Raw genomic sequence first — 13,092 nt, forward strand, 5'->3', positions numbered from 1 at the left:
TTGTTATCTCGAACTACATCTGCATGCAAAACACGCTCTGGCTGGGAAAATGTAAGTTCTGGGGAATCGAAACCCATTTTTCAAATCTGAAAGAGATGGAGAAATGAAAAGAAACGAAAAGGAGAGGAGAAAGGTACATTTTATTCACATGCAAAAAAATGTAAATGAAAGCTGGTTTCATTTCCTCACCCCCAAGCTGGTAAATGATGTATGTAACTTGTCCCAAGAGTTTTCAAAATTACTATTTAAGTTCTATGACTGTACAGTGGAACAAAATCCATACTGGGCAAATGCGGTGCCATTTACTTCTAATGCTAAATAAATGCTCATGTTCTGGACTTAATGACAAGAGAGCTTCTCACCCTAGGTACCAATGACATTTGCGACGGACAATTCATTGTCCCATGTGCTGTAGAATGTTCAGTGGCAACCCTGGCTTCAAACTACTACAGGCCAGTACCACGCCCCCAGATGTGACAACCAAAACTGTCTCCAGACACTGACAAATGTCCCCTGGGGGAGGAGGGTGCAAAACCTCCTAGGCGAGAGATCCCCTAAAATAGACTCAAGCCAGAGTGACTGAAGTCACCGCCCCCCAGTTCCACGTCACACACACACACTCCATCAGCTGAGACTGCTCACTGGGCTTTGGAAGCCAGGGCAACACAGTCCCAGTTGCTCAGGCCCCCAAAGCCAACAGTGATACAGATCACATACGGCTCCCTAGGGCCAAGGGCTCTGCTTCCCCAAGGGCTGGGATCTCCATATTCCTCAGCACAATCAGCGACAGCACAGACTCACACCAGCAGGAGCTGCCTTCCCAAGTTAGTCAGGACCTGCACCCACGTAACAGATTAAAATTAGGCACGCTAATTGTTAAACTGTCGCTGCAGAAGCTGGGAATACCATTTTTTTAAATGAATAGAATTAATGGATTCTTTATTTGCGTGCATTGGTGATACTCAGCCTGTCTTTTATTATCAAAGCAATCATAAAACGTCGCTTCTGCCACATATGCAAATTAAATCATTAGTATTTTTCCCAATTACAGCAACTGCTTATTTGTATTGCTGATCTATTCTACCAATTTAGTTCCTCTAATATTAATGATACTGGAAATGCTTTAATAAAACTCTCAGGCAATACAAGATACACATTTTCTACTTTGTGCCTTTCTGATCATGTAATGGGTAGGACCACCCAGAGTGACCCAGATGGGCCACGTCTCAGAGACTGAACCCCGGAGCCACAGTGCTCTGCCCTCTACATGGGCCCCCAAACAGGGCTTCCCTGACTCCTCCCCACAAAGGGGAGAAACAGCCCAGGGGTCCTGTGGGTGGGGCCAGGCCAGGAAAAGCCAGCCCACCGTGATGGGAGCTTTCTTTAACAGCTTACACTTTCTTTTTCTTTTTTTTTTTTTAGACGCAGTTTGGTTCTTGTTGCCCAGGCTGGAGTGCAATGTTGCGGTCCCGGCTCACTGCAACCTCAGCCATCCAGGTTCAAGCAATTCTCTTGCCTCAGCCTCCTGAGTAGCTGGAGTTACAGGCATGAGCCACCACGACTGGCTAACTTTTTTGTATTTTTTTTAGTAGAGATGGGGTTTCACCATGTTGACCAGGCTGGTCGTGAACTCCTGACCTCAGGTGATCCACCCACCTCGGCCTCCCAAAGTACTGGGATTACAGGCGTGAGCAACAGCTTACACTTTCTAACAACTCAAGTGAAGTGTTCATTTCACTGTGTAACTGCCCACGTTACAGGCATGGTTGGCTTAATACCCAGTGTTCTCCAACACGGTCTCACAGTCCAGTTCACGGATCTCACCCCGCTCACCCAAAGGCTCCCCTTGTCGAGGAAGATGTGCTTGTTTCCCGTGGCCACCCCTGACCCTGGCTCCAGCCCACAGGGGGAATCCTCCACCATGATGCCCCTCACAAGCAGGAGGCCCTGGCACTGCTCTGAGCCCTGCACCTTCCCGTAAAGTGCATAACCACTGAGCAGATCCTCGCTTGGAGGCTGGACAAACGTCAGTGTCTGTGAGTTCAGAATCTGAAAGAAGGATAAAGCTGCCTCTCGGGAGATGGAGCAGGGCTTGGAAACAGATCTGATGACATGTGGGCAGGCAGGGGCAGGGGTGGCAGAGGTCGGCTTCTTAAGCACTCAGCCGGAACAGGTGCCTCCTCAACTGGCTCCTCTGAGCGCCACAGAGAAACCCACGGCAAGCGCAGTCTGGGCCACAATGAAGCAACAAGGAAGCAGTTAGTTTTGCAAACCCAATACGCTCAAAGAGCGCCCGATCAATCCATTACCATTTATTCCCTCTCTGTACCTGGTGGGAGAAAGCGCGGCAACGACACCGCCTCAGCAGCTCTCACTCAAGGGCGTGGGGTGGGGGGCAGGGTAGAGCACTGCCTCGGGCCAGCTGATGGCCCCTCCCTCAACGATGGCCGGGGCAGGAATGGACAACAGAGACTGGAAAGTGAGAAAAATGATACAAAGTGGAAACAGGATGCAGACAGGATGAAGCTCATCCACACAGTCCCACAGAGTCCCCCAGACAGCATCAGCCCCGCCAACAAGGCCAGACAAGGACAGACGTGAGAGCCACTGGAGGGCAGGGCGGCTGGAAGAGCTGCCATCGCTGGCACCTGGGCACCGTGCGAGAGGCCTACTGACGTGAGTAACGAGGCGCAGTCCACTCTCGCCTCTAATGGGAAGCCACGAACAGCCCGGACACAGACAGAGAAGCAGCTCGTGGGCAACCCTCCATCGTGCTCTGCAAAGGCAGAAAACCCAGGGGGACCTGGCTGCACACCACATCGATGGGAAAGACACCCAGGCTAATATTAGGGGATGCCCAGATCCCAGGTCCTCTGTATCAGCTGTTCGTAATCTGGGATACCTGCGTGGGCTGAAAAGATCCATGATCTCCCTAAAGCCACATTCGAAATGACATATTTTAGTACCTCTCTCTATCATATGGAAATGTTTAATGAAAAAGAAAACTGAGGCTAGGCATGGTGGCTTACACCTGTAATCCCAGAACTTTAGGTGGCCTAGGTGGGAGGATCCCTTGAGACCAGGAGCTCAAGACCAGCCTGGACAACATAGTGAGACCCCTGTCTCTACAAAAAAAAAAAAAAAAAAAGCCAGATGTGGTGGTGCACGCCTGTAGTCCCAGCTACTCAGGAGGCTGAGGCAGGCAGATGGAGAGAGCCCAAGAGGTCAAGGCGGCAGTGAGCCATGATTGTCCCACTGCACTCCGGCCTGCACAACAGATCAAGGCTCTATCTCAGAAAAAGGCAAAGGAAACGGAAGAAAAGAAAGAGAAGGGAAAACTGCCCTGCATCCGAAGGAATGGGTCCTAGGCGGCAACAATGAGTCTGCTTTGTTTCAGTGGACATGGCCCCAGCACCATATACCCCACGGCTCTGTCCCCTGCTTCTGATCCCTAAAATGCCGATTTGTATTCAAACACATACAAAGATGACACTTTAACAATACAACAGCTTAAATAAAACTTCCAAATACATCAGCCCTCGGACCAAGCACCAGGAAGATGAGACACAGGCAGGACCTGAGGAGGGGCTCAGGGCTCCTCTCTGCACCCCACCGGGCCCAGAAACTGATGGGGAGGTGCACACCCAAGGGCTCCAGCGAGCCAGGATACAGGAGAACAGAACTGCGGACATTTTGTGCACAGGGACAGGGACAAGGCTTCCATGGAAGAGCCCTTCCCATCCCTTCCCTTCCATCTTGGCTCTCTCTCCTGAGAAGGGCACCTTGCTTCCCGGCCGCCTCCACAGGACTGGCACAATCGGAGGCCCATAGCCCCTGACTGCTTTGCGTGGAGGCCCTCTCCCCAGCATCCCCAGCACCTCAGCTGAAAGGTCTCCTCCAAGCCTCAGGAAGAAGCCTTGCCCTCAGCTTCCCTTAGCCAGAGGCGACACTCTTGGAGCTCAGTACATGGGGGCACACAGCGGGCTGGCTGCTCTCAGCAGGAGGAAGCACTGGCTGGCAGTGTCAGGAGGTTCCGGGGGCCTCCGGGTCACCTCCGAGGACTGAAGAAAAGGAGGCTCCTGGCCCACGACTCTGCCCAGCTCAGCAGCGGGGAAGCTCTGCCTCCACCCGGCTCCCTGTTGGTGGCCAGAGCGGGAAGGCAGAGCTAGAGCATGGAAATGAGTGGCCACAGGGGCCCCTGTTCCCTCTGAAGTCTCAGCCTCAAGCCCCCTGCCTGCCTGTGCCAGGAGCCCTTGCAGCTTCACGTGCACAGCACAGCCTACCAGTGGGCAAAGCCGGCCTGTGATAAGGAACACGCACACGCCTGTCCCTGATTCTACAGACGCCACCCCAGGAGCCCCAGAAGGACCATGTGATACAACAGGACACAGGGAGCCTGACTGCAGCCTCGTCCATTACTCACTACAACTCACAAAGGGGACAGGAGGCCAGGCAAGCCACGGTGAGTGCCGAGGAAGCCACGGAGGCTGTGATGACCCTTCCTGCCGGTACAGAATCAAAAAGAGGCCACTGGGCCCCGGAAAGCGGTCCAAGACAGTCTCCTACAGCTCTGCTCTGGGAGCCCCAAACAAGCCCCGGAGGCAAGGTAAACAGAGGCCCAGGGACAGGAAAGCTCAGGTGTGCCCTAAACAAGGGCTAAACAATGTGGCCAGACCCAAGGATGAGGGAGAAGGAATCTGGGTCGGGGAGGCTGGGCCAAACCCTGGAAGACCCGGCAGGCAAGGCAGAGGGGCCTGCGTTTTACTCTAGACAATGATGAGCCACAGGATGCCAGGACCAGGGCAGAGAAGGAAGGCTGAGAGTCGGAGCACAGGGAAGAGAGGCTGGGGCCTGTGTCTCGGAGGTTCAGAGCCACTGTCAGGTCCCAGTCCTGACTGTGCTGCTGGGGCTGGGGCGGCCGCACAGGGGGAGTCAAGGTCACAGACACTGAGACTCAAATGCTCAAACGGAATTAGAGGCATCCTCAGTTTCTGTACGAAAATGGGTGGCACTGGAGGGACGAGGAAAGACCAAAGAGAGATGGGTCACACCAGAGGCAGATGAGTGTGTCCCAACCACGGGAGGAACCACATGACAGAGGTTCAAAACCACCTTCCCAAGAGGAGCGTCAGCTGAGGGTGCAGGTCCTGGGGGCATCCCGGGGTGGCCGGCCAGGGGAGGGTGCGAGGCCTCTGGAGCCCACGGATGTTGGTGGGTAAGGCGTCCATGCAGAGGCATGCTTGGAGCACCACTGTGTGTTCCAGACAAGCCGCCAGACCACGTCTGGGCCTGAAATTTAACAATGTAATGCACTGTAAGGAAATCCCATGAGCACCGGCTTTAGGTGTAAGAGCTTGACTTTCATAAACAACGTAGTCACGACCTAGAGGAGCAAGAGCCACATCCCAGACACAGTACCGAGAACTTCTGCTCGTAACAAGGCTGGCCCTTGTCCAGAGACAGCCCAGTTCTAACAGTGAAAACACAGTGGTCTCCCTGGAGAGAAGAGAAGCTGGGTGAGAACTGTGCATGAGAGAGGATTTCGCCACCCTCACCACCATCAGATGTACCCATTTTAGAGAAACTCCACCCTTCCTCATTAGGTGGCAGCGATCAGAGGTGAGTGGCTGTTCTGGGTTCACCAGGAATCACGCCAGAGGAGCCAGACTGCACACGACTCCAGTGCGTGAGCACGTGTGTGCAGATGTCTGTCCGTGCGTCTATCTGTATGAGGGTGTGTGCGTGTCCGGGGAGCACGAGTGTGTGGGTGGGAATGCTTGCTGTGTGTGGCACGTGCACACGCACGTACATGTGTGTTGAGGAGGAAGAACACTCACTAGGGCTGCAGTCCTAGAACTTCAGTGGGAGCTAAAGACAGAGAAGAGGGGACTGCTCACAAGTGGCCTGGATGGGGTCACCCACTGAAGCAGCCGCGGGCCCACAAGCACCAGAATGGCTGCAGCAGGGGCTGGAGAGTGGCCAGAAGATCCCCCGGTGCACCCAGGCCAGGAGGCCACTTCCAGCCTCAGTCCCGCCGCTGCGTGCCTGGCCAGGACCACAGGGCCGGCCGCCACCAACGCAATGCCCAGGAGAGCCTCCCACCCCTTACTTTACAAAACCCCCCACCTTCGCCTGGAAGAAACCTCCTCTTAGAGGTGTGCAGGTTTGAGGTTCTCTGCCTCTCCCTCCAGCCTAGAGACAGGACGAGGCACAGCACTCTGTGACCAGAGAAAGCTCCAGCCTGTCTTCAGGCAGCATCTGTGCCAGCCTTGTGCCCCAGCTGACAGGGACAATACGCTTTATACCCAAAACAATTCAGCCAGGGCAGGGATACTGCAATTCTGATCGTGTGGAGAAGAAAACCGAGGCTTAGAGCGGTTGGGTCAATGGCACCAGAGCAGCTGGAACGTGGCTCCACCAAGATGCACCTGGGCCCTAAAAAGCCTAAAAAGCCGAGCTCCTCCTCACTCTACTTTCCAACAAGAGTGCGCCCCTGGAGGAGCCGCGCCTCCTGCCTGGGGCTCATGGTTCCACCACGCATTGCAATGGGCACTAAGGGGAGTGGAAGGCGTGGGCTCAGGAGCAGCAGCCAGCTCAGATCCACACCCCCACCCCACCGCTCTCGCTTGGGGCCGCAGTGGCCACAGGTATCAGACGGGAGGACGGGTATCCACGCCACAGGTGTGCAGGGACTAACGGACCACACGTCATAACATGGGGCCCAGCACACAGAAGACACCCACTGCAGAAACATGGCAGGACGCGGCTGGGCAGGTCCTCCCTGAAGCCGAGGGAGGCAGCGAGTTCATTCACCTCATAGCACCTGGGGTTGGGGAAAGGCTGGGCCATTGACCTCCTGTGTTACTTATCCTGACAACAGTTCTTCAAGGAGGAAACCCTGAAGTCTGCTTTGCAGATGGGTGGACCCGGATGAGGGAGGTGGCAAACTGACCACTGTGGCTCTCCGCTCGCTGGAGGGCCGCAAGCCTGGACTTTGAAGCTCATCCACCTAATCCCAAAGCACATTCCTTCTAACACACCACTTGCCCGCAGGGAGGCAGATGCGGTCAGTGCGGCTTCCAGGACTATCTGGGCCCGGGCCACGTTTGCATCGGCCTTCTCAGGCACCTGCCCACCTCTGCATGGGACAGATGAGCCAACATGGCTCAACCCTTCTCTGGAGCATCCTCAGATGACCAGCAGAGCCTTGGTCCTCTGGGTGACCTGGGTGCCTGGCCCCAGAGGGCAGCTGGACCGCACGGCTGGAAGGACCACCCTCTGGGCCCCCCTTTGGCAGCCATGGCCCTGATCCGTCCTCCACCATCCTGTGGGTTGGAGCCCCCACCCCGCCCCTTGGGGTCACTGGGCTGCAGCCGCAGGGACTCTGCCACACAGGCTCCTCCCTTCCTGGCCCCCACTCCCCACTCTAAGGGCCCCAGGCTTCTCTGCATCCAGCCAGTCATCAGCGGAGGGAGTGTGTGGAGGGATCTCCCTGCTGAGCTGCCATTACTTCTATCCACCTTTCCCACTGGCCATTTTGGCACACTTGGGCTCTGACTTCCAGGGCCCCGGGTTTTCCCAGGAAGCAGCAGAGACACAGGGAGGCCACTGTGTGTTAGTCTCCACTGCCAGAGAACCCTGCCGAGGGCTTCTCCCACAGGCCCTGGGAGCCCGCATTCTGCCTCTGGGATTGAGAGGTGAAGCCAGCTGGACTTCTGGGTCGGGTGGGGACTTGGAGAATTTTTCTGTCTAGCTAGAGGATTGTAAATGCACCAATCAGCACTCTGTAAAAATGCACCAATCAGCACTCTGTGTCTAGCTAAAGGATTGTAAATGCACCAATCAGCACTCTGTAAAATGGACCAATCAGTAGGACGTGGGTGGGGACAAATAACGGAATAATAGCTGGCCACCCCAGCCAGCAGCGGCAACCCATTTGGGTCCCCTTCCATGCTGTGGAAGCTTTGTTCTTTCGATCTCCACAATAAATCTTGCTGCTGTTCACTCTTTGGGTCCGCACTACCTTTAAGAGTTGTAACACTTGCCGCGAAGGTCCGCAGCTTCATTCTTGAAGTCAGCAAGACCACGAACCTGCTGGACAGAAGAAACCCCGGACACATCTGAAGGAACAAACTCCGGACACACCATCTTTAAGAGCTATAACACTCACCGCAAAGGTCTGCAGCTTCATTCTTGAAGTCAGTGGGACCAAGAACCCACTGGAAGGAACCAACTCCGGACACAGGATGGGGCCCACCCTGCCCTCCTAGAGGCCCGCTAAGGGATTCTGAGGCGAGGTCCGCAGAGCGTTCAGTGTGGCACCCATGCACACTGAGCCCACACCAAGACTATTCTGGAACTGCTGCTGGGATTCATGAGGCACGAGGAGCTAAATTCACTGAGGACGCTACTGGCGGCTTTCCTCCTCAGCATCTGTCCCCTTCCCCCTTCCTTCCTGACATCAGTGAATTCCATACCAGGGAGGCCAGTTCCCCAGCCGGCTTCTGGAAGAGGCATGTCCAGCACCCAGGCTGAGCCACTCGGTGCGCTCTGCACCCCGGTCACAGTGACTGGTTCAGAGTTCAATACGTGGCTGGAGCCAGACCGAAGGAGAGTGAATCCAAGACTTGCTAAGACAAAGATGCTGTCCTTCCTGATGGGTGTGAACCAGCCAGTGTATATAACCCTGGGAGCAGCGGGCAGGGCCTGTGTATCCCATGAAGCTGACTCTCCCCAGGTAGGGCAAAGAAACAAGCCCCAGATGACACTGTGGAGGAGCTGGATCAAACAGTGCCTGAATACTTCCTCCTCCGGCACTTTCTAGGAAAACAAGCCAAACAATTCCCTGAGGCCACAGTACCTAGCGAGATCCTATCTGATGGGGAGCTACCAGAAATACCTCCCTGCTCAATACCTCCCTCGAAGCCAGCCAGGTACAGTACCTCACGCTTGTAATCCCAGCACTTTGGTAAGCCGAGGTGGGCAGACTGTTTGAGCCCAGGAGTTTGAGACCAGCCATGGACAACATGGCGAAACCTCATCTCTACAAAATATACAAAAAATTAGCCAGCCATGGTGGCATGCGTCTTTGGTTCCAGCTAATCAGGCAGCTGAGGCAAGAGAACTGCTTAAGCTGGGAGATCAAGGTTGCAGTGAGTGGTGATTGTACTGTAGTGAGTGGTGATTGTACCAGTACACTCCAGCCTGGGCAACAAAGCAGGACTCTGTCTCAAAAGATATATATATATATTGGAAGCCACCCCCAAAAATCCCCTTAGAGTGCCTTTCCCACCCTCCACCTGTGGAGGAGCTGTGCCCACAGGGGCACCATGCGGCCGCAGCCCCAGCCCTGACCTCTCCCATCTCCCTGTCCTTCACTGCCCTCCAGAGCGGCACTACCCCTCACTTTGCTACCAGGAGCCGCCACATGCCTGGAGCCCCGAGCCTGGACCTGAGCACCCAGCCACGCAGCCTCCCTTGAGACACTGCAGCCACACCCGGTAGCCCTCTGACCAAGGCAGTGGGCAAAATGCACACAGTCCTTCAGGGTCCCTGCTCATGCAAATCAGAAGCAGTGAAGACGGGACAGAAAGAACCAAGGGGAGGGAAAGCGGGGCAGCCTGGATTTACGCACAGCCACAGTCTCAGGGCAGCTCCCTCTCCCAGCACACTGGGAAGCATGACAGACGGCAAAGCCGTGGCACAGTGTCCATCAGACCGCTCGAGTCATCCTCAGGGCCAGGGGCCTCGGCTCGGCCTCGATACGAATCACACTGTGGCCAAGGCGCAATCTGGACATGCCATAGCAGCTGAGCCACCATCACGAGCCGGGCTCTGCATACCGGGTAGGGACGCTGGCCCTTCAGGTCCCTAACAAGCGCAGCATGCCCTGGGGGCTGACAGTGTCCGTGGGAAGCATCACGGTGCTTCTGAGCTTTCAAGAGTCTAATCTCTGTAAACTATGACACAGTCCCTGCAAGGACAAAGGCAGACGAGAGCTTGTTCTCAAACTGTACTAAGGTCCTTCGGGGAGACGTCCACCACACCACGACCTGCTGCAGAGACACCCTGAGCAGGTGCAGGAGCTTCAGAAAGTCCTGCAGGTGCATCCAAGGCCCGGTCAGCAGCAGGCCCCGGGCAGGGGACATACCCTACTCCTCATTCCTCCCAAGACCTGCCAGCAGAGAGGGCTGTGTGTCCTCAGAGCCAGCGGGGGAGGAGGAAGAGGAAAGCTGAGTCTCTGCGGGAGAGACACTCACTCAGCAGATGACAAAGGACTCACTGAGGTGATGGGGTCATGACAGTGAAGCTGGGATCTCAACCGATGCTCACTCAACACCCCAGAGCCATGGAACACAGGACATCACTGCAAATCACTCTTGTCCACTGCAGGCACATTGGCAGTGTGACGAGCAGGAGAGAGCACATCCACCAATCAGACCCTTCACCCCACACCCACGAGAGCACCGAGGAACCAGGAGAAGGATACGTGAAACAAGAGAAGAGGCCCTCCGCAGCTCCCACGTGCCTCAGCTCTGGCCTCCGCTTAACCAGAAGAATTCTGAAAACAGAACTTCGTCAGAACGCAGCCCGCGTGTGCTGAAGCTGGCACGCTGACATGGAAAGACACTCTTCTTCAGGGAGGGACCGCGGGAAGCACTGCACATGGTTGGTTGTGAACTCCGAAGCCCAAAAGGTCAACATCCCCACCAGCTTGGGAGGTGAGTTGGATGCTCCCACACCAGGCCCCATCCTGCCCGGGCCACCATGCCGGGCAGGGGTGGGATGGCCCAGCCCGGCTGCTACCCTCGGATGGCAGCGGGCATGCACGTAACGGCTCTGCAGGTCAGCTGCTGCCCCAGCCAGCAACCGAGCTACGCTGGGCTGTGCTGCACACTCAGGGGCAAAGGAAAGCAAGCTGCTTCAGGGCAGGCACTCGAAAGGCGAGAAGACACAGGCACCCCAGTGACATCTCCTTTGATGCATCCTTCTGACCTGGAGAGCCAAGGGGCGGATTCCAACACAGAGCCCTTGAGCTGGCAAACAAGTGTTCTCCAAAGAATGGGGACTGTGACCACCTATGAGGATTTTTTCAGTGCAAAATCTGATGTAAATTTTATAGTAGAGGGGGTTTTAATATGCCAGAACCTCCCAATGGTTTTCTTTATGGCTCACTTTAAAGGTCCAAAAGGTCAGAGGGCCACCCACATCCTGCAAGCAAGGAGGCACAGTTGGCATCACTAATTAAGATACACCCCGCTTGTGTGGACCCACAGGCCATCTTCCCCTCCTTGTCCACAGCCCCCAGAGGTGGAATGGGGGTCAGCCTCCTTAGAACACTCTAACCCCTGAGCTTACGGGGCTCGGACATGAGTCCTGGGGGTGGGTAAGTCCTCAATAGCCAGCTGGGATTAGCCCCAGGCCACAGGGAGGACTGAGGCTCAGGGGCCCTTGGCCACGCTCTGCTGACCTGCTGGGGGCCCACTTTCTGCCACTTGACTTACATGGCACGGTGCCAGCCAGCAAGGCCCCTGCAGATGGGCCAGGCTGGGCTCAGCCTCAGACCCGGAATTCTGGTGTGTAAACCGGTGGCACTGGGGGTGCCAGCTCGGGTCCCCCAGCGGGTCCCCTCCAGCACGGTTTCTACACAGACTCCTGGCAGGCTTCAGTCCTGACAGCTACTCTACAGAATCCTGGACCTAGGCACAGAGGAAGCTCTCGCCAGCACTGCTAGAAGGAAGGAACCCCCTCCCTTCTGGATGCGGCCCGTCTCAGAGCCACAGGACTGGGACCCCCGGCGTGTGAGCCACCTTCTTCACCTTGCCCTTGTTTTGGAAGCTGCCCTTGCTTTTCATGCAGAAGTCCCCACAACAGCACCACCAAGCATGTGCCCCAAGGAGGGCCTAGCCGCGCCATGGACCACCTGGAGGCCTCCTTGGGATGCATCTGAATGGGCCTGCCTCCACAAAGTTAGAACAAGAGAGATCAGGTCCATCACCCAGCTGGAGCCAGGCACCAGTGCACAAAATAGAAAGAACAGAAGCAAACTCTCCATTAAATGCAAGAAGACTACACATACATGAAAACGCAAGGAAGTCCTTTGTGCAGACCACACCTCCACCCCACCCAGGCAGCCTGCCAGTTGGCCCGGCTCATCACTGGCTCACGCACTCTGGCCTCAGAGACCTCAGTCACCAGGCCACCATCTGGCCACAATGCCCTTTTCACAATGCAGCCCCGAAACTCTGGCTCTGGCTAAAAAGGACCACACCCCATTCCCACCCACCCAGCCTCCCCTTCCTCCTCCTCATCTGGGCCTGGCTCCTGCACCACGGCTCTCCCTACCAAGCAAGCCCTCCAGCCACAGCCCTGGTTCTCAGGATGGTGACCCGTGTGCACCTGCCTGTTTAGCTCCTTTTTCTCCTCTGTCCCTACCAACACCAAAGCCTCTTGTGGGCAGAGGCCAGTTTTCCTGATCAAGCCTGGGGTCATGGGGCTGGCCACTGCGTCTGGCACAGAGAATGTGTTCAACTGAGTCTCATCTCATGTAAAACCTAGTACTTGGGCTGGGGTGTAAAATGAGTATTTGCAAAATAATAACTAATCAATTAGAAATATTCAGGGAACATGGCCCCCAAGGACCACCCCCCCTCCACCCCCAACCCCACCACCAGGGAGGCCAGTGGAGATACCACAGAAACTTCTCTTCCTCAGTTTAAAAAAGAACCGCTCCAGCAAATAGCAACACATAAACCAGATGATGGGCCATTCCCAAGGGAAAATGCAATTCCATCACCGCTTGAACAATACTCCCACTTGGAATGCTGGTTCAGACTTTCAGGTCCTAAGAACTGATTTATTGTTTCAAGCTTAAACATCAATCCAGCAAAAGCACTTGACTCACACAGACGGAGTACTTCATAAACAACAGTAAACTCACAAAGCCCAACACTCACATTTTTAAACAGAGCAGACTCCAAAATGTTTATGTACACAAACATATTAATGTATCATATTAAAATTATGACGCTAAATAAGAAGTGATTAAATAATGTCATTAATTCTAATTTAAAACAAGCAGAGAAAAACTTC

General features: G+C 55.1%; 1 protein-coding gene across 24 annotated transcripts in view, besides 1 other annotated feature; it reads right to left on the bottom strand.

The window, feature by feature from the left end:
- The window catches only part of HDAC4 (histone deacetylase 4), a 353,482-nt gene that overhangs the window by 333,155 nt on the left and 7,235 nt on the right, over window positions 1-13,092 (bottom strand). The window lies entirely within an intron of this gene.
- Window positions 4,571-5,421: an enhancer, noted in NCBI's record as "H3K4me1 hESC enhancer chr2:240307588-240308438 (GRCh37/hg19 assembly coordinates)". NCBI's record gives its function as "activates a minimal SCP1, AML or CMV promoter by ChIP-STARR-seq in primed H9 embryonic stem cells {active_cell/tissue: H9 hESC(primed)}" and the evidence as "EXISTENCE:reporter gene assay evidence [ECO:0000049][PMID:30033119]".

Source organism: Homo sapiens, chromosome 2 (assembly GCF_000001405.40).
Source record: "Homo sapiens chromosome 2, GRCh38.p14 Primary Assembly".
In the NCBI taxonomy this organism is placed as follows: domain Eukaryota; kingdom Metazoa; phylum Chordata; class Mammalia; order Primates; family Hominidae; genus Homo; species Homo sapiens.